This window comes from Homo sapiens, chromosome 9 (genome assembly GCF_000001405.40).
Source record: "Homo sapiens chromosome 9, GRCh38.p14 Primary Assembly".
NCBI classification, from domain to species: domain Eukaryota; kingdom Metazoa; phylum Chordata; class Mammalia; order Primates; family Hominidae; genus Homo; species Homo sapiens.
This window is the reverse complement of record NC_000009.12, coordinates 122,467,592-122,488,260: the sequence shown is the minus strand read 5'-3', so window position 1 is coordinate 122,488,260 and position 20,669 is coordinate 122,467,592. Positions and strand designations below refer to the sequence as shown.

The window sequence follows — 20,669 nt, the reverse complement described above, 5'->3', positions numbered from 1 at the left end:
GAGGCTGAGGCATGAGAATCACTTGAACCCAGGAGGCAGAGGTTGCAGTGAGCTGAGATCATGCCACTGCACTCCAGCCTGGGCAACAGAACTGTCTCAAAACAAAAATAAAACAAAAACAAAACAAACAAACAAAAAACCCAAAAGAATTATTTAAAATATAGAGCTCACTAATATAAGGGAGGCAACATGGAAGAAAGCCTAGAATGAAACCAGGCTTTAGGTTTGAAGTTAATGTGTTTATGTTTGAATACTCATTTAACCATTTACTTTTGAGACATTGTCAAACTCAATAAATGGGAAAAATACTATCTACATCAAATATTATTGTGATGCTTAAAAAATCTTATAGATGTGAAAGTTCTTTATAAATAAAAAAAATCTGTACATAATAAAAGTTCTTATTTATATTCCCATAGGAGTTGACTGTCCTTGGTGTCCGGCAAAGGCACATTTCAACTGGGAATATTAAGGGAAATACAGTAATTAGCCCCTAACTGTGTCTCACCACAGACTTCTGGCACCAGTCCCCTGGGTTCCCATCCAGGCAGGTAAAGGGAGATACTCTTGCTGTAGCCTTGTGGCTGGTGAAAAACAAAGAATGTGCCTCTTCTCCACTTCAGGGTTGAGCTCATGACTTTTCTCACTGTTCCAGCTCTAAGACTTTTGGAGAGAAAATGAATGATTGGTTCATACCAAGGAGCTGACAATATTTGAATTTATCACTGAACTAGGTAAGACCAATGCTTACAGACTCCATTAAGCAGTTTGTGTGTGTGTGTGTGTGTGTGTGTGTGTGTGTTAATCATCTCCTCCAAAATCTTGCAGATGAGTACACATGTGCCAGGTGGTTTATATAATTTTTGTATTACATCAAATAATTTAGGGTGGACATCATTATTATTATTCTCTGGTGTTTGTACTTTCCTCTTTAGGAAAATGTTCTCTCACAGTTTTGCTGAATATCTGGCCTGCATCCCAGCTATGAGCACATTCTTCAAGGTTTAAAAAATAATAATAATCTGCATTTTTATAAATAGTTATAAACATACCTACATGCAATTTCCTATTATGTCCTTTAAAAATTATATCATAAGCTTTTAATGAATTTATTTTATTGACTACATATTCTTTTCAATAATGTGTACCATAGTTGCCTTAACCTTTCCCTTACTGATGGAATATAGGTATCAACAACAACACTGGCCAGGGTCTTATTTGTTTTTTTCCTGGGACCCCGAGAAATTTACTTTCTGGGAAGCTGCCTTCGTAAATCCAGTAACTGATTTCCTGGTTTCTCTATTCTCTTCTGATCATCTGATTAAAGACTGAAGCAATACATCTATGCAAAGGCTTTTAAGAAATTACAGATTCCACCTCTTTAATGACAGGTGCATATCCAGATGTCTTTTCCATCAATGCTCTGCTGGAGGCAATACGACATGATGATTAGCAGCATGAGTTTGAAATCAGACAAACACAGGATTGAATGACCTCCCCATCATTTTCATGATGTAGAATTTTAGGCAAATTATTTATACTCTGTAAACCCTACTTTCCAATTGGTTAGATGAGAATAATGCCATTTTGTGATCCTGTTAGGCTGATATGATATAAATTGCATCACAGCAGCTGGCCTATATTATTATTCACACAATAAATATGTGATTAATGAATGATTGCTATTCTAATTTTTATTATCAGTATTACTGACATCACCATCATGGCACAAATCTTGAAACTATAGATTTTTATTCATCCTTAAACTCTCCAATTTACTTCATGAAATTCTTGAGTGCTCTCAGGCAGCAAATATTGTCCTATTTGAAGATATATTTAATAAGGGCTTTTAATAGAGTGGGAAGAATATAGTCTTTGAAGCCAGATGGACCTGCTATCAATTCCCAGGCTCACAATATACTAGTGCTATAATACTGGGCAAGTTTCATCACTGAATCCCAGTGTTCTCCTCTCCAAAGTGAGGATCAGAATGCCTACATTGGCTGGGCACAGCGGTTCATGCCTGTAATCCCAGCACTTTGGGAGGCCAAGGTGGGTGGATCACTTGATGTCAGGAGTTCAAGGCCAGCCTGGCAATATGGTGAAACCCCCTCTCAACTAAAAATACAAAAATTGGCCTGGCATGCTAGTGGGCACCTGTAATCCCAGCTACTCGGGAGGCTGAGACAGGAGAATTGCTTGAACCCGGGAGGCAGAGGTTGCAGTGAGTCGAGATGGTTCCACTGCACTGCACTCCAGCCTGAGTGACAGAGACTCCACCTCAAAAAAAAAAAAAAAAACTTATGTGGGAACAGGTGAATATTATTTGAAAATCACCTGGTACAAATTAAGCACTACATCAGATTTCTTAACAATTCAACTATTTCTACAGCCCAGCCTTACAGCAGTCATTGCAGCCAAACTGGAAAGATAGTAAATTTGTTCTCAGTGTCTGCAGCCTCTGCTTTCATTCTGCCTGTAATCTCCAACCTTGTCTCCTCACTTTGTCTGAGAAAGCCAGTGCATTTGTTCTGCCATCCAAACCTGGATCCCCAAATAAATTGCTCTCAGCCATTCTATCTGAGTTAGAGTGTTGGCCATAGGGCTCTCTCTCCCAGGAAAACTTAACTTGAAACCTAATCTCTAGTTGGAAACTTAAAGCCCTTTTTCTCTTGCTAAAAGAATTTCAGATATCAGCAAGCTATTGAGGGTGATGTCTTGGGTAGGGACAGGAAAGGCTCAATGTTGTTCTGAAAATCACATCACACTACATGTTCACTTAGAAAACAAAACTAACCCAGATAATCTGAAGAATGGTGAGAAACTTAGAGACATGGTTCTATCACTCATTTTCTACAATCTATGAAGATGTGGGGGTCAAGTTTGGGTCCAAAGTGCTGGAGTCTGTGCGGAAAGCCTTTAGCCTCTAAGACTAAGTAACAAACTAGCTTTCACGTGTTTCTGGGATTAATAGTAAAGCATTCATAAATATTCTAATTCTGCTGAAATTCTAATTCAATATTACATGGAGCCAGTTGTCTACTTTGCTGTAGTTACTGAAAGTTACCATTTGGCATGAATTTTCACCTACTAGATTAAGTTGGCTCATGTTTACACTCTTCCTGTCACTCGGTGGGGAAGAGGAACCAGGACTGGTAGGACATGGTTGCCTTTTGAATCCAGTTGAGAAAGTGATGGTGGGGCTTCTGCACACTGTTTTTTGTGTTTTTGAAACATGGTCTCACTCTGTCACCCAGGCTGGAGTGCAGTGGCAGAATCTCAACTCACAGCCTCGACCTCCCGAGCTCAAGCGACCCTCCCACCTCAGCCTCCTGAGTAGCTGGGACCACAGGCGCATACCACCATTCCTGGCTAATTTTTTGTATTTTTGGTAGACACAGGGTCTCACCATGTTGTCCAGGCTGGTCTCAAACTACTGAGCTCAAGCAATCCACTCTCCTCAGCCTCCCAAAGTGTTAGGATTACAGGTGTGAGCCAACGCACCTAGTCCTACACTCTGTCTTCTTGTCCTACTTTTTTTTTCTTTTTCTCTTGTTGGATAGCTCATGACTAAGTAGGAATGAACAGCAGAAATTTTTGCCCCTTCTTTAAATGGGAGAGAATTTTCAGAGCATGGATTCTGTGCTTCATAATAGTGTCTTTATGTTAAGAACCTCTTTAGATTTGACTACCTGGCCTAAGAGGAGATTTGTTCTTTACCATAGGCCAATAGGATAATCTGCCCATTGGCTGTGTAGACTGGCCAAAGTAGTTCCATTAAATTTAATAGTAAAAATTATTCGCCAGGCGCAGTGGCTCACACCTGCAATCCCAGCACTTTGGGAGGCCGAGGCAGGCAGGTCACAAGGTCAAGAGATCGAGACCATCCTGGCCAACATGGTGAAACTCCGTCTCTACTAAAAATACAAAAATTAGCTCGGCATGGTGGTGCGTGCCTATTGTCCCAGCTACTTGGGAGGCTGAGGCAGGAGAATCTCTTGAACCCAGGAGGTGGAGGTTGCAGTGAGCCGAGATCGCACCACCGCACTCCAGCCTGGCGACAGAGCGAGACTTTGTCTCAAAAAAACAAACAAAAAACCCCCAAAAATAGTAAAAATTATTGTAACTGCTGGTGGGAAAACATAGAAATAAGAGAACCTTGGAAATTGATGGAGAAAAACAGAGGAAGGCACAATGGGCTCCTAATATTGATTACTTCATGAAGCCATGCTTTTTAAGATATATATATTACTGATATATACAGTGCATTCACCAAACTAATAACTCTTATTATAAATTGGGTTTACCTGAGACAAATTTTTCCTGTCTGACCTTTCTGCTAATGAACAAACCTAATTCTCTACACTCTACCTCACCCTTTTCAACTAATAACATTTTTTAGAGAATGTGACCTTAGAAGCATTTATTTTTTATTTAGAGAAATACCTTAATTACTTAGTTCAAAAATAAAGAGAAGTAAAACATATGACCTAATGTACTTATCATTCAGATTTAACAAACATCGACATGTTGTCACATTTGTTTCTGACCTTTAAAACAAACAACACAGAATGTTATCAGCACAGCCAAAGGTGCATCCCACATATCCCCTTTGCTTTCTCCTTTTCTAGGGTTAACCACTACAAAGAAATTTTTAATACCTTTTTAAATACTTTTTATACTTGTTTTTGTGCTTTTACTGCATATATGTGCCCATAAATAATATATAGTGTTGTTCCACGTTTTAATTGATATATTACACGAGCATAGTTTGCATGTTAACCCTAAATTAATTTTTAAATATCTATCTATGTAGACACATATGGCATACAGTTTATTCCTTTTTTATTGCAGGATAGAATTACATAAATAAATTAACTTCTGTTTATCTAGTTATTGGCTATTGAACAATTAATTGTTTCAGTTCTTCATTATTACAAAGCTCTAAATAATAATGTGGCCTTTTTCCTTCTGGAGAATTGTGAGCAATTTTTTACAGCATCTATGGAGAAATACATCAAGAGAAGTAAATCTTCAATTTTATGAGAAATATTTAACAGATAAGCCAATTTAAACTGTTCAAATAGATGAACGATTTAAATCGATGAACCTTTTTATTTATGCTTAATTGACACAATAATTGTATATACTTATGGGGTACAGTGTGATGTTTTGATACATATATACATTGTATAATAAGTTGTATATCCATCACCTCATTCATTTATCATTTCTTAGTGAAGAAAACATTCAAAATCCTCTCTTCTAGCTCTTTTGAAATATACAATGTTGTTAACAATATTTACCCTACTGTACAATAGAGCATGACAACTTATTTCTCTTATCTAACTGTAACTTTGTAGCTGTTGACCAATTTCTTCCCATCTCTCATCCTGCTCACCCTCCCAGGCTCTGGTAACCACTATTCTACTCTCTGCTTTTTTGAGATCAACTTATTTAGATTCCACATATGAGTGAGATCATGCAGTAGTTGTTTTTCTGTGCCAGAACTTATTTCACTTAACGTAATGTCCTCCAGGTTCATCCATGTTGCCACACTGACAGGATTATATTCCTTTTTATGGCTTAATAGTATTCCATTGTGTATATATACATTTTCTTTATCCATTTATCCACTGATGGACATTTATGTTGATTCTACATCTTGGCTATTGTGAATAGTGCTGCAATAAACATGCAGATATCTCTCCAAGTTACTGACTGTATTTCCTTTGAATATATACTCAGTAGTGAGATTGCTGGATCATATGGTAGTTCTATTTAATTTTTTGAGAAATCTCCATAGTGTTTTACAAAATGACTATATAATTTATATTCCCACCAACCATGTATAAGTCTTCCCCTTTTTCCACATCCAGGCCAGTATTTGGTATTTTTTTGTCTTTTTGATAATAACCATTCTATTTGGGGTGAGGTCACAGCTCATGGAGGTTTTAATTTGCATTTCCTTAATAATTAGTTATATAAGTGGTTTTCCATATACCTATTGGCCATTTGTATGTCTTCTTTTGAGAAATACGTATTCAGGTATTTTGCACATTTTAAAATTTATTGTTTTTGTTTGTTTGTTTTTGCTATTGGGTTGTTTCAGTTCCTTATATATTCTGGATATTAACCCCTTGTCAGACACACAGTTCGAAAATATTTTCTTTCATTCTGTAGGTTGTCTTTTCACTCAGTTGGTTGTTTCTTTTCCTGTGCAGAAGCTTTTTAGTTTGATATAATCTTATTTGTCTATTTTTGCTTTTGTTACCTGTGCTTTTGAGCTCTTGTCAAAAAAATCCTTGTCTAAATTAATGTCATGAAGCATTTCCCCTATGTTTTCTTCTAATAGTTTTACTGTTTTGGATCTTATATTTAAGTCCTTAATCCTCTTACAGTTTATTTTTATATATGATAAAGGATAGGGGTCTAGCTTCATTGTTCTGCATGTGCATATCCAGTTTTTCCATCACCATTTATTGAAGAGACTATCCTTCCCAATTTAACCATCTTATAGCAATGTATCAGAGTTCCTTTTCTTCGTATACTTGCCAATTCATGGTGTCTTCATGTATATTTTTAAAATTTCATCAGTGCTATCTTACCATTGTTTTAACTTTTATTTACTTTATCACTTTGAAAGTGGACCCCTCACATGCTTAATATGTTTATTGGCCATTCGGACTTCATTTTCTGTGAGTTTCTAGTTTGTATTTTTTGCCATATTTTAATTGAGCTTGTCTTTTCCTTATTGAGCTTTTGTCTTTTCTTTATTGATTTATAGGAGTTCTCTATGTGTCCGGAATACTAGTGTTTTGTTGATTTGTGGCAGTATATATTCTCCCATCTGTGGCTTTGTGGTGTTGGTGGTTGCTGTCGTAATGAAACTTCATTTTAATGTTATCAAACTTAAAGGAAGATTCATTTATCCTGTGTGCTTTGGGGATCTTGATTAAGAAATGCGCTTTACCATGAAAAACGAATGAGATCATGTCCTTTGCAGGGACATGGATGAAGCCAAAGTCCATTATGCTTAGCAAACTAACACAGGAAAAGAAAACCAAATACTGCATGTTCTCACTTGTAAGTGGGAGCTAAATGATGAGAACACATGGACACATAGAGGGGAATAACTCACACTAGGGCCTTTTAGAGGGTGGATGGGGCCGGGCGCAGTGGCTCACGCCTGTAATCCCAGCATTTTGGGAGGCCGAGGCGGGCAGATCACAAGGTCAAGAGATCAAGACCATCCTGGCCAACATGGTGAAACCCCGTCTCTATTAAAAAGTACAAAAATTAGCTGGGCGTAGTGGTGCACACCTGTAATCCCAGCTACTCGGGAGGCTGAGGCAGGAGAATCACTTGAACCCGGGAGGCAGAGGTTGCAGTGAGCCGGGATTGTGCCACTGCACTCCAGCCTGGTGACAGAGCAAGACTCCATCTCAACAAAAAATAAAAAATAAAATAAAATAAAAAATAGAGGGTGGATGGTGGGAGGAGGGAGAGATCAGGAAAAATAACGAATGGGTACTAAGCTTAATACCTGGGTGATGATGTATACATATGTAACAAACCTGCATGTTGTGCACATGTACCCTAGAACTTAAAGTATAATAATAAAAAAAAGAAGCAAATACATTTTCTTTCTAATAAAATTTGTTTTTAGATCCTTCAAAAGGATTCAACAGCCAAAAAAAAAAAAGAAATACCTGGGTGATGAAATAATCTGTACAACAAACCCCCATGACACAAGTTTACCTACGTAACAAACCTGCACTTATACCCTTGAACATAAAATACAAGTTAGAAAGAAATATGTTTTAACCTAAGGCCATAAACATAATCTATAAAGTTTTCTAATGATGTGAGGTAGGGATATAGTATTATTTTTCCTTTATTGATAGCCAACTTCCTCAGCACCACTTAATGAACAGTTCTTCCTTTTTACTACTTTATCACTGATTTATAATGCACTTTTGTCAATCTCATGGTCCTCATTATAAACATGTCTATTTCTAAGCTCTATATTTTTCTTCATTATTTTATTGGTTTATCCTTGCAAATATTTATTTGTTTTAATCACTTGCAAATATTTATTATTTGTAACAAGCTGTGATATGTTATAGTGAATCCCTGCCCTCTCTTTTTATTAAAAAAAAGAGTACTTTGATAAATATTGATGTGAGTTGAAAAATAAATCGCTTATAAGCTATTTCAGAGATGCTGAAAGAACAGAATTCCTGTTAAAATTACTTTTAGCTTTTAGATTGTATTTCTTTGAATGTGAGGCCATGTGGCAACTAAATAACATGGGGCCCCAGGATTGTTAGAGCAAAGCTGGTTCTTGAACTAAGCCCAGTAAAAGTTTTTTAATAAAGCTGTTATGATAAATTTAAATAGCTCTAACATTTTATTTGATCAACAAATTTATATAGAGTATGCATTAGTTGGTTATGATAGATTCTAGGTCTAATCTTTCAAGAAAAAGAGAAAGGAACATGGAAACATGAAAAAGAATAGACCAAAATAAGACATCCAGCTCATATCTTAACCTGAAGTATTATTTCCAAATATGTTGAGAAATTGTCTCGTCCTTCTGGTACTGGTATTTAGAATAGAGTAACAGCATCTGACAGCCTCGCTAATATCTGAATTTATTATGATGTGAAGTTTCCAAGTCTTTATGAATTTTTCGTAATTACACTATTAAATGTTTTAAAAGTGGTAGTGATTAAAGACTGAATTTAAGTTGTGTTTAATGCCTCATCAGTCAGTACCTTTGATATATTTCAAGATCAAGCAGGAATTTCTAATACAGCATCTGATGTCATATAGAAATGAGATACAAAACAATAAAACACAAAGGCCGAGAGACTGGAGGAGGAAATCCAAACTCATCAGCATTTTACTTACTCTGGCTTGACACAGTCAGTAAAATGCTTTGAAAGCCATCCTGGGGAAAAGACAAATTCTGAGTGGAACAATGAGATTTCAGTAGCATGGAGAAATTGATGAGATGGCTGAAATCCACTGAATGTGAAATCTCACTGAGCCAATGCTCCTTAGACATACTGTGAGAGGAATTCACCGCTGCGTCCCCAAGAGACATTGTCACATGTGTGGTTGAGCCTGGAGGAATATATATATGTTTTCGCGCTACACATTGATATTCAAACATAGAATTAAATATCTTACACTTATCTTAAACTTTAAAAAGATCAGAGCAATTAGGCTGGGTGCAGTGGCTCACACCTGTAACCCCAGCACTCTGGGAGGCTGAGGCGGGTGGATCATGAGGTCAGGAGTTCGAGACCAGCCTGACCAACATGGTGAAACTCCGTCTCTACTAAAAATAAAAAATTAGCTGGAAGAATCGCTTGAACCCAGGAGGCGGAGGTTACAGTGTGCCGAGATCTCACCACTGCACTCCAGCCTTGGCAACAGAGCGAGACTCTGTCTCAAACAAACAAACAAACAAAAAAAGATCAGAGCAATTATGTATGGATCTGAAACCATAAGAAAGATTTTCTATCTTGTTGCTTACTTCGTATTATGATTTATTTACCTGGACTTTCAACAGTACCACCCTCCCCACCTTCTAGAATAGTACATATATATCATGATAAAATATGTGGGTATGTCCTTTGAAAAATCACTCAAAATAACTTGTTTTGTTGTCTTTTGGAGTAATTGTTTACATGGAAGAGTTTTTTAATAAATAAAGTGTTATGTCTTAAAAAAAGATTAGGGGTCTATAAACAATGAATAAATTAGAAATAATCATGCACTGTGTAGACAAGCAGGGTATACAGAATTAAATAGGTCATTGCACACAAAATAAGGCAATGAGATTTCCAATGTCAAATAATTGCTTTGTTTCCACAGAAGAAACTATGGAGTCAAGATACTTCGGTCCAAATCCCAGCTTCTCCTCTTCCTATTGCTGTGACTATAAGACTGTCTGCCTTAGCTTTCACATCTAAAGAGTAGAAATAATAACAGTACCACCCAGCTCATATATTGAAGGCTATTGAATCACTTACAATACATCAGCTATTGGAACAGTGTATTAAAAAACATTTAGCAAACAACTTTTAGTACTATCATTTACAGAGACCAGATTCAGAAAGAAAGTAGCTATATCGACTAAACCTTCATTTCTTTTTCAGCACATTTGCAGCAAAATATGTGGCAAATGTAAGAAAATATGAAGACATTCTCTAAGTCAAAAGAACATCTCTATTATACTATGCCACAGTTATCATTTCTTATTCCAAGACATACCATTTTTTTCCTTCAAATTTCCCTAGTGCCCTCCAGCTGATATAAACATGAGCCCTGAGAACCAGAGCAGCGTGTCCGAGTTCCTCCTCCTGGGCCTCCCCATCCGGCCAGAGCAGCAGGCCGTGTTCTTCGCCCTGTTCCTGGGCATGTACCTGACCACGGTGCTGGGGAACCTGCTCATCATGCTGCTCATCCAGCTAGACTCTCACCTTCACACCCCCATGTACTTCTTCCTTAGCCACTTGGCCCTCACTGACATCTCCTTTTCATCTGTCACTGTCCCTAAGATGCTGATGAACATGCAGACTCAGCACCTAGCCGTCTTTTACAAGGGATGCATTTCACAGACATATTTTTTCATATTTTTTGCTGACTTAGACAGTTTCCTTATCACTTCAATGGCATATGACAGGTATGTGGCCATCTGTCATCCTCTACATTATGCCACCATCATGACTCAGAGCCAGTGTGTCATGCTGGTGGCTGGGTCCTGGGTCATCGCTTGTGCGTGTGCTCTTTTGCATACCCTCCTCCTGGCCCAGCTTTCCTTCTGTGCTGACCACATCATCCCTCACTACTTCTGTGACCTTGGTGCCCTGCTCAAGTTGTCCTGCTCAGACACCTCCCTCAATCAGTTAGCAATCTTTACAGCAGCATTGACAGCCATTATGCTTCCATTCCTGTGCATCCTGGTTTCTTATGGTCACATTGGGGTCACCATCCTCCAGATTCCCTCTACCAAGGGCATATGCAAAGCCTTGTCCACTTGTGGATCCCACCTCTCAGTGGTGACTATCTATTATCGGACAATTATTGGTCTCTATTTTCTTCCCCCATCCAGCAACACCAATGACAAGAACATAATTGCTTCAGTGATATACACAGCAGTCACTCCCATGTTGAACCCATTCATTTACAGTCTGAGAAATAAAGACATTAAGGGAGCCCTAAGAAAACTCTTGAGTAGGTCAGGCGCAGTGGCTCATGCCTGTAATCTCAACACTTTGGGAGGCTGAGGCAGACGGATCACCTGAGATCAGGAGTTCGAGACCAGCCTGGCCAACATGGCGAAACCCAGTCTCTACTAAAAATACAAAAAAATTAGCCGGGCATGGTGGTGCATGCCTATAGTCCCAGCTACTCGGGAGACTGAGGCAGAAGAATCACTTGAACCCAGGAGGCGGAGGTTGCAGTGAGCCAAGATCGTGCCACTGCACTCCAGCCTGGGTGACAGAGCAAGACTCTGTCAAAAAAAAGAAAAAAGAAAAAAAAATTATTGAGTAAAAAAAAACCATTATTCTAACTGATATTTACCTTTCTTTTAAAACATCCCATGTAATATTTTTCCTCAATAATACAGAAATACAAATTATTGAAAATATAGCTCACTTGTCTTTCTTCCACAGCTGTCACTCTGAAATGCTTTCCTGATATTATTATTGCATCTGTTTGAGGGAATAGTAAAATAGGATATGTTGTATAGGACTTTGTTTGCTCTTTTCTTGGGTAATGGAATTGGAAAATATTCTGAGCATGTTATGTCACTTTGGCTGGTATGAAAAGGAAGCCATCAGGGCTGACCTTTCCCAGATTTTAAATTTGTTATAAAATGTGTCTGGCCCTTCACACCTCTATTTCTTAGGAATTTTCCACTTTTGTGAAGATATGGCTCCTCTTTCGCCCAGGCACCAGATATCCAGGAAGCTGAAGCCCTTTCAGAAATTTTAAGAAAAACATATGACATTTCTCACTCCTTACATAATAATTAACACACTGCTGTCTTGTCCTTCCAGAATATAGCCCACACTTCCTTTCTCCCCAAACACATACAGATGTTCAGTGACAAAATAAATGTCACCTCAGTTCTCTCAGGGACTGATCTAAGAACTTAATATACCTTAAAATCATCTAACTTAATTCTGACAAAAACTCCAAAAGGTAAGTTTAAAAAACTCAGGCTCTAAAAGGGGAAGAATACCCCAAGATCATATAGTTCGTGAAAGGAAGACTTGAATCTTGGCATCTGATTCCAGAGTGACTCAGTGTAGCAAAGACTATAATAGTTTACATGGAACACTGTGTGGGTTTGAAGAGGAATAATTAGCTCAGTCTGATGGAAGAGGATATAAACAACTTCCCAAAGAAGGCGTTTCTTTACCTGAATCTTAACAGATGAGAACTATCCAGACACACAAGGTTTTATCTTGTTCTGATGATCACAGGAAGAGGGAGTAGTGTGTGTCAGGATGTTAAATTGGAAGTTTCAACTGAGGCACCAAGACCTGGGAGACAACAGATATTAAAGTGAATTGTGACACACAAAATGAAGATATTGATAGGAAATAATAATAATAATCAATATCGTAACACTTGAGCCTCTCAATCTAATGTGGATCTAAAAAGAGCTGAGAGCTGGAGGTAAGAGAGTGTCTTGTAAAGTTTTCTTTCAGAGAAAGCTGCATAGTGAACCCCAAATCCTCCTAACAGGGAGAGGGTTGTTTTTCTCCTTATCTCAAGCTTAATGGAAGAAGCTTCAATAGAACCACTTAGCAAGTTTCATATATATCCCCTGCTTTTGTGAGAGAAAGAGCAATAGAAAAGAAGAAATGTGGCGGGAGAGAGATAAAGACAATGATGAAATTATGTTTAGGGAATGCTTTCACTTCTTTTCATGGTGAGGCAATAAAATAACTGGGGATCCCAGTACCTGGTAGTGGACAGTGAGCCAGGAAGACCCCACCGTGGTGCTGTCCCCATGCCTAACCCTGCCCCTGGCCTCGCCCTCTAGCCCCTATCTCCTAGCGAGGCCCTGCCCCAACCTTCCCTGCCAAGCTGGATGGAGGAGGGTGTAGCCCAGGCTGCTCCTTGTCTGCCTGTTGTCCTGCCAAGTATTCACCTAGGAAAAAAAAAATTAGAGAAATGTCCAAATATGTTGAGTTTATTCAGGAATGAGAAATGAAAATTATAACCCAGGGTGCACAAAATGACAAGCCACCAGTGCATCTGGTGAGGGCAGGGTAAAGGGAAGCTCTCATTGGCAAGAAGGAAGAGGTTCGTGTCAGCTGCTTAGACACGGAGTCCACTGGCTCCAGAGGCTCAAAGCTAAAGTTGTCATCAGTTCATTGGTAGAGATGCTGTTACTGTGCAAATGACCATTTGAGAGCATGTTATCTGAATTACTGCAGTCCTGAAGAATGTCTAGTGATAAACCTTGCCATAGAAGCATATGTATATGTGTGAAACCTGCAAGCTGTACAAAGCAGATGAGTGAAAGATACAAAGAGATGTCTTCTGGAGCTCTTAGAAACTTCTTGGAAATAGTTCTTATCTCAGACACGTAAGCATGAGCCCCCTCTCCTTCATGCCTTCCCAGCCCTATTTTGTCTGGGTGTGACAAAAGTTATTTCATCCTGATACCTGCAACTTTCACATTTCCCTCTTTTGATAATGATTTTTCTCTAAAAATATCATTGATCAACTAGCCTGTAGCCAGGTTTGAATTGTCCTTTGGTGCTGGGATAGACCTGTTGTAGTTAGTTGATCTCATCCCACATCAGGCGGAAGTGATAAACAGCTGGAAGTCAGTCTCAAGACCCTTTTAGCCACATTTGAGCAAGAAGGAGGCCAGAAGGAGAAGCTCTTAGGCTTATCTCATCTGGATTTCATCATTAAATTTAATTTTGTCTGTTCCATAGGCATTGACTATCATCTCAAATTGCTGGGCCAACATTATTTTGTCAGGAGTTGTATTTCTGCAAAGATTTAACAGACAACAAGTATACAGTTTAAAAAGGAAAATACAGAGCAAAAATAGCCATAATATGACGAGTCCAGTTTGCATGATGCTTTTGAGCCATGAACAAAGGCAACCAACTAAATAGATAAAATGACCCCAGAGAAATGGGTGAGACTTGTAGCCAGATAGACTTGTTCTTTTAGTTTATGTAACTGAGTTTCAACTTACCTGGAGGAGTTAACCTGGGTACAACATGCAGTATTAGCAATCGCACAGATACCATCTTGCTCGGCTAATAGATAATCAAGAGCAATTCTGTCAACACTACCCTGGCAAGAGAAGCCAATGAATGCTATTGTATACTTGCAGTGAAGTCTGCAAGAATTCCTAGGGTAGCAAATAAATCTTTTACCATTTCTTCATTAGTGGCTATATCATACCATTATACAAAAGATCTGACAAAGGAAGCAATCCAGAGTCCCATGCCCACCTGGTAACTCATGTTTAACCCTTTGATATAGTAAGACGGGACTAGTCCAATGACAGTCCCGTGACCAGTTTCAGATCTATTATGCATTGACAACAGAGAAACAAAACATCCCAACACACATTAGCCTCCTGTTGTCCAAGTGTCTAAATATCTGGAGGCCCATATTGACATATCCCACCCACAAAAGTAAATATATCCAATAGGAAAACAAAGAATTCTTCCATCTGTAAATTTTCTGTGTCTGGCAGGATTAAACCAGGGGTCAGTTATATTACTATAAACTGCTAATGGCCCTTCCTCTTAAAATCAGTCCCAACAAGTTTTCTTACATATGGTAAAGAGACCCAAGGAATACTTTTAGAGAGATGATCCATTGCACGTCTCTAGGGCCCTACTAGGAGATCATTGTTTTGAGTAGATGAGACAGGAGACAGGAATAGAAGGTGAATGAGAAAGCTTAACCTTATAGGATGGTCCCATGATACACTTTGTACAGAGGGTTGGAGCTGAGATGTTTGTTACAGATTGTACTAAATTTGTTACAGATTGTACTAAAAGAAAACTAGAGTCATTAACAGGTCAGGATTTTTTATGACAGATCCAACAATCAGTAAGTTTTCCCCTGTACCAACAGACTGGGAAATGTGGACAGGAATATCGTCTTCCAGGGAAAAGAAATGGATAAGATAAAGTAAGAATTAGAAATAAGGAAAGGGTATATAGAAGTCATCCAAACATCTTGGGAGAAACAGATGCCACCTGCTTCAAATCTTAGAAATTTTTAGTTTTATAAACTAAGTTCAGTTCTTAGAAATTTTTAGTATTAATTCGTTGACAGGAGTGCAGATCCACTCAGGAGCTGATGTTTTCCTTAGATAAGATACATATATCCAAGAATCAATTCCTTTAAGGTTGGCAGCACAAAGGTTGGTTAACAGGACTGGAAATGGGCCTCTCAATGAGGTCAGAGGGAGTCTTTTTTTAAATGTCTTTTCAAATAGACAAAATCTCCTGATTGCAGATTATGGTGTTTTAGGTCTTCATCTCCTGGGAATGCACTGTGGAAAGATTGTTCTACCAGAGCATACTTTTTATCCATAGCCTTGATTATACCTTTATAATATTGAAGCATTTCACCTTTTATGAACTTTGGGTCTTTGAAGTTGGGGCCAAATGCATGGGGTACCCAGTAATAACTACAAATTGTGAGATCTTATGTATTCCAAAGGGAGACCTTTTAGCTCTGAAGCACTATAGGCAGGGCTTTTGGCCACGGCAAGTATAAGGTTTCTACAAAATTTGCCAGTTGGGTCTTAAGAGTACTATTGGTGCATTTCAACTAGTCCAGAGGGCTGGAGATGATAAGCACAATTAAAGTGCTGTAAGATTGGCCAGATGGCCCACATTTGTATTATAACTTGTCCTGTAAAATTAATTCCTCAGTTGCTGGGAGCTCAAGAGAGATGGCCCTGGTATGAATTATCTTTTCTAAAAGGACTTTAACTACTGTTAATGTGGTGGCTCATCTTCAGGGGAATGCTTCAATCCAGGGGGAGAACATACAGATCAAGACTAACACACATTTGTATCCATGCAAAGGAGGGAGCTCGATAAAATCCAACTTTGAAAGGCCCATTAGGGAGGTTAAAATGTTCAGGGTTATGCACCCTGCGTTCCCAGGATTGGATTTAGGGAATGTAGGGCAGGGTAAAATAAGTATTTTTGGCTGCTTTATTGATGGTACCTGACCAGTATTGTTTTATAGAAGTAATTGTATTTTATGTAGCCCAGTGGCTTAAGTTATGTACAGTAGTAAACAATGGAAATTTCATGGAGTCTAGCAGGACAGGTTTGTTTATTTGGCCCAAACCCAAGTATATCTTTACCAGTGAATCAGCATCCACTATTCTCCAGCTTATTTTTTTGGCCTCAGATGCCCAATTCTGTGCTTCTTTAGTAATTGTTTCAGAATTATTTGGGGGGAATTTTCTAGCTGGGCCATGATAGAAATTTGATCAATAGGATCTTTTAAGGACAGCATTCTTTGCTGCATTATCCGCAAAGTGATTTTCTCTAGATTCCACAGTGTCTAATTTTGAATGGCCAGAGACTTTGATCATGGTTAGGGCATCAGGTAACTGTATAGCATCTAATAATTCTTACGCATAAGGGTCATTCTTTATTTTGTCTCCATTGGAAGTGAGGAACCTCTTTACTTCCAAACCATACCAAAATTATGAACAACTCCAAAGGCTTACTGTATTAGTTCATTTTCATGCTGCTGGTAAAGACACTCCTGAGACTGGGAAGAAAAAGAGGCTTAATTGGACTTACAATTCCACATGGCTGAGGGGGCCTCAGAATCACAGTGGGAGGTAAAAGGCATTTCTTATATGGCAGCAGCAAGAGAAGACGAGGAAGATGAAAAAACAGAAAACCCTTATAAAACCATTAGATCTCATGAGACTTATTCACTACCATGAGAACAGTATGGGGGAACTGCCCCCGTGATTCAAATTATTTCCCACTGGGTCCCTCTCACAACACATGGGAATTATTGGAGATACAATTCAAGTTGAGATTTGGGTGGGGACACAGAGCCAAACCATATCATTCCACCCCTGGCCCCTCCAAATCTCATGTCCTCACATTTCAAAACCAATCATGTCTTCCCTACAGTCCCCCAAAGTTTAACTCTTTTCAGCATTAACCCAAAAGTCCAAAGTGTCATCTGAGACAAGGCAAGTCCCTTCCTCCTATGAGCCTGTAAAATCAAAAGCAAGCTAGTTACTTCCTAGATACAATGGGGGTACAGGTATTGGGTAGATATAGCCATTCCAAATGGGGGAAATTGGCCAAAACAAAGGGGCTACAGGCCCCATGCAAGTCTGAAATCAAGCAGGGCAGTCAAATCTTAAAGCTGCAAGATGATCTCCTTTGACTCCAGGTCTCACATCCAGGTCATGCTGATGCAAGAGGTGGGTTCCCATAGTCTTGGGCAGCTCCACCCCTGTGGCTTTGCAGGGTACAGCCTCCCTCCCCGCTGCATTCATGGGCTGGCATTGAGTGTCCATGGCTTTTCCAGGCACCTGGTGAAAGCTGTGGGTGGCTCTACAATTCTGGGGTCTGGAGAACAGTGGCCCTCTTCTCACAGCTCCACTAGGCCAATGTCAAAGCCATTCAACCACAGTGCCCCAGTAGGGACTCTGTGTGGGGGTTCCAACCCCACATTTCCCTTGCACCCTGCCCTAGCAAAGGTTCTCCATGAGAGCCCCACCCCTGCAGCAAACTTCTGCCTGGGCATCCATGCATTTCCATACATCTGAAATCTAGGCAGAGGTTCCCAACCTCAATTCTTGACTTCTGTGCACCCACAGGCTCAACACCACATGGAAGCTGCCAAGGCTTGAAGCTTGCACCATCTGAAGCCATGGCCTGAGCTCTATGTTGGCCCCTTTCAGCTACAGTGGGAGTGGCTGGGACACAGGGCACCAAGTCTCTATACTGCACACAGCATGGGGACCCTGGGCCCTGCCCACAAAACCATTTTTCCCTCCTAGACCTCCAGGTCTGTTATGACAGAGGCTGCCACAAAGGTCTCTGACATGCCCTGGAGACACTTCCCCCATTGTCTTGGAGATTAACATTCAGCTCCTCATTATTTATGCAAGTATCTGCAGCCAGCTTGAATTTCTCCTCAGAAAATAAGATTTTCTATCCTATGACATTGTCCGGCTGCAAATTTTTCCAAACTTTTATGCTCTGCTTCCTTTTTAAAACTGAATGCCTTTAGAAGCACCCCAGTCACCTCTTGAGTGCTTTGCTGCTTACAAATTTCTTCTGCCAGGTACCCTAAATCATCTCTCTCAAATTCAAAGCTCCACGGATCTCTAGGGCAGAGGCAAAATGCTGCCAGTCTCTTTGCTAAAACATAACAAGAGTCAACTTTGCTCCAGTTCCCAAAAAGTTACTCATCTCCATCTGAGACCACCTCAGCCTGGATTTCATTGTCCATATCATTAACAATACATTTGTCAAAGCCATTCAACAAGTCTCTAGGGAGTTCCAAACTTTCCCACATTTTCCTGTCTTCTTCTGAGCCCTCCAAACTGTTCTAACTTCTGCCTGTTACCCAGTTCTAAAGTCGCTTCCACATTTTCGGGTATCTTTTCAGCAGTGCCCCACTTCCAGTACCAATGTACTGTATTAGTCCATTTTCATGCAGCTGATAAACATATACCCAAGACTCGGAAGAAAAAGAAGTTTAATTACACTTACAGTTCCCCATGACTGGGGAGGCCTCAGAATCATAGTGGGAGGTGAAAGGCACTTCTTACATGGTGGTGGCAAGAGAAAATGAGGAAGACGCAAAAGTAGAAACCCCTGATAAAACGACAGATCTCATGAGACTTACTCACTACCATGAGAACGGTATGGGGGAAACTGCTCCCCATGATTCAAATTATCTACCACTGGGTCCCTCCCACAACACATGGGAATTATGGAACTACAATTCAAGATGAGATTTGGGTGGGGACACAGAGCCAAGCCATATCACTTACCTGCTGCTTACATAAACATTGTCTTTCCTGTAGCAAGGAGTCAGGCTCAAGCGAGGGCAAACAGATCTGCCTGCTGGGCTGAAGTAGTTAATAGTAAATGAGCTGCTTTCACAATCTCAAAGGAAGTCACGACTGCACAGCCTGCACAATACTTGCCAGACTCATTCTTTAAATGTGAGCCATCTGTAAACCAGGACAACTCAGCATTGTCCACAGGAATTGCTCCCAAGGAATTAAAAGCTGGTCTGTCAGAGTTAAGCAGCCATGTGGTGTTTCATCTGATGGAGAGGTCCAGAGAGCCACAGGGTTAAGGTTATTGCAGCATGATTGAATAATATGATGAATAGTAAGTAGAAGAGGTTCATAGGAGGTTAGTCCGCTAGCAGAAAAATGCCAAGTGTGATGAGTGTGTAAAACGGCTTCCATGGCATGAGGAAAAAACACAGTCAGGGAGGAATCCCATGACTATCTCCTCAGTCGCCTTGACTAACAAGGATGCAGCGGGGACTGCTCTTAGGCAGAGAGGGAATCCACAGGAGATGGGATCCAGTTGTCAACTGTAGTATCCTGGAGGATGGTGTGGACCTCCATGCTTTTGGGTTAAGATCCCTGAAGTATTTTCTTCCTTTTCACAGACAAAGAGAAAAAAAAAAGAGTTTATGATTAGAATTACCTAGAACTGGAGAATTTATCAATTTCTCCTTTAGCTTTTTAAAAACTTACCCTTATGATTTTGTCCAAGTAATGGGGTCAGGTTTGGTAAATTTATGTAAAGCACATAGGAGTTGGGCCAGAAAAGAAAAGTTGGGAATTCAGTTTCAAAAGTAGCCAGTGAGTCCAAGAAACCCACTCACAAAGTTGGCATTTCTTTTGGGCTGAGGAAATTGTAAAATGCCTTGAATCTGTTCTGGTTCTAAATGTAATTCATTCTCTGAAATTAAATGGCTTTATTATTTCACCTGAGTTTTTACTCACTGCAGTTTTTCTTTACAGGCATTATGACCTTAAGCAGCCACTTGCTTTAATAGGTATACACTGTCTTTTTCACAGGCTGCCTGTGAAGGACAGCAAAGAAGGAAGTCATCTACATATTGTAGTAAACAAGAGCCTTGGAGAAAAATTACATCCTCTAAGTCTGCCTTTAACATTTGAGAAAATAGGAAAAACTTTCAGTAAACCCCTGAGGCATTAATGTCCAGGTGAACTGTTGGCCTTCCCAGGTGAAGGCAAGAAGATATTGGTTGGCTTGATCCCCTGGAATAATGAATAATGTAATACACAGATCAGTGATGGTGAAGAATCTGCTATCAATGGGTATTGGATTTAATACAGTATGGGGATTTGGAACCACTGGGTGCTTTGTAATAATACTATGGTTTATAACTCAGAGAGAGTTCCTGAACAAACCTCCTCCCATGGTTGTTTGGTCTTTTAGTAGGTAGGATCAGGGTACTCCAAAGACTGGTACAGAGAATAATGAGACTGTTTTTTATATTCTTTTATAATAAGTTTAATACCTTGCAGTGCCATCTGGTTTAGTGGCTGTTTAATATTAAGCAAGGGTTTTAATAGGTTAATCTGGATTTTAATAAGA

The 20,669-nt window shown here is 39.5% G+C and overlaps 2 protein-coding genes across 9 annotated transcripts in view; one reads left to right on the top strand and one right to left on the bottom strand.

The window, feature by feature from the left end:
- OR1J2 (olfactory receptor family 1 subfamily J member 2) overlaps positions 1–20,669 on the bottom strand; it is a 132,995-nt gene that overhangs the window by 92,167 nt on the left and 20,159 nt on the right. Inside the window, exons 3-5 of one of the 8 annotated variants that reach the window (XR_007061274.1) lie at positions 19,076–19,700; positions 12,446–13,183; positions 506–663 (exon numbers count right to left, since the gene is read on the bottom strand). The gene's annotated coding sequence lies outside the window, so the exon portion shown is untranslated. Of the gene's footprint in view, positions 1–505; positions 664–6,238; positions 9,133–9,518; positions 9,983–12,445; positions 13,184–19,075; positions 19,701–20,669 lie in introns of those variants that run through there. The other 7 variants (XR_007061276.1, XR_007061272.1, XR_007061275.1 and 4 more) reach the window with 7 other exon arrangements.
- OR1J1 (olfactory receptor family 1 subfamily J member 1) lies at positions 10,335–11,303 on the top strand. The gene has a single exon (NM_001004451.1). It carries the CDS (start codon positions 10,335–10,337, stop codon positions 11,301–11,303), a length of 969 nt encoding a protein of 322 aa, NP_001004451.1.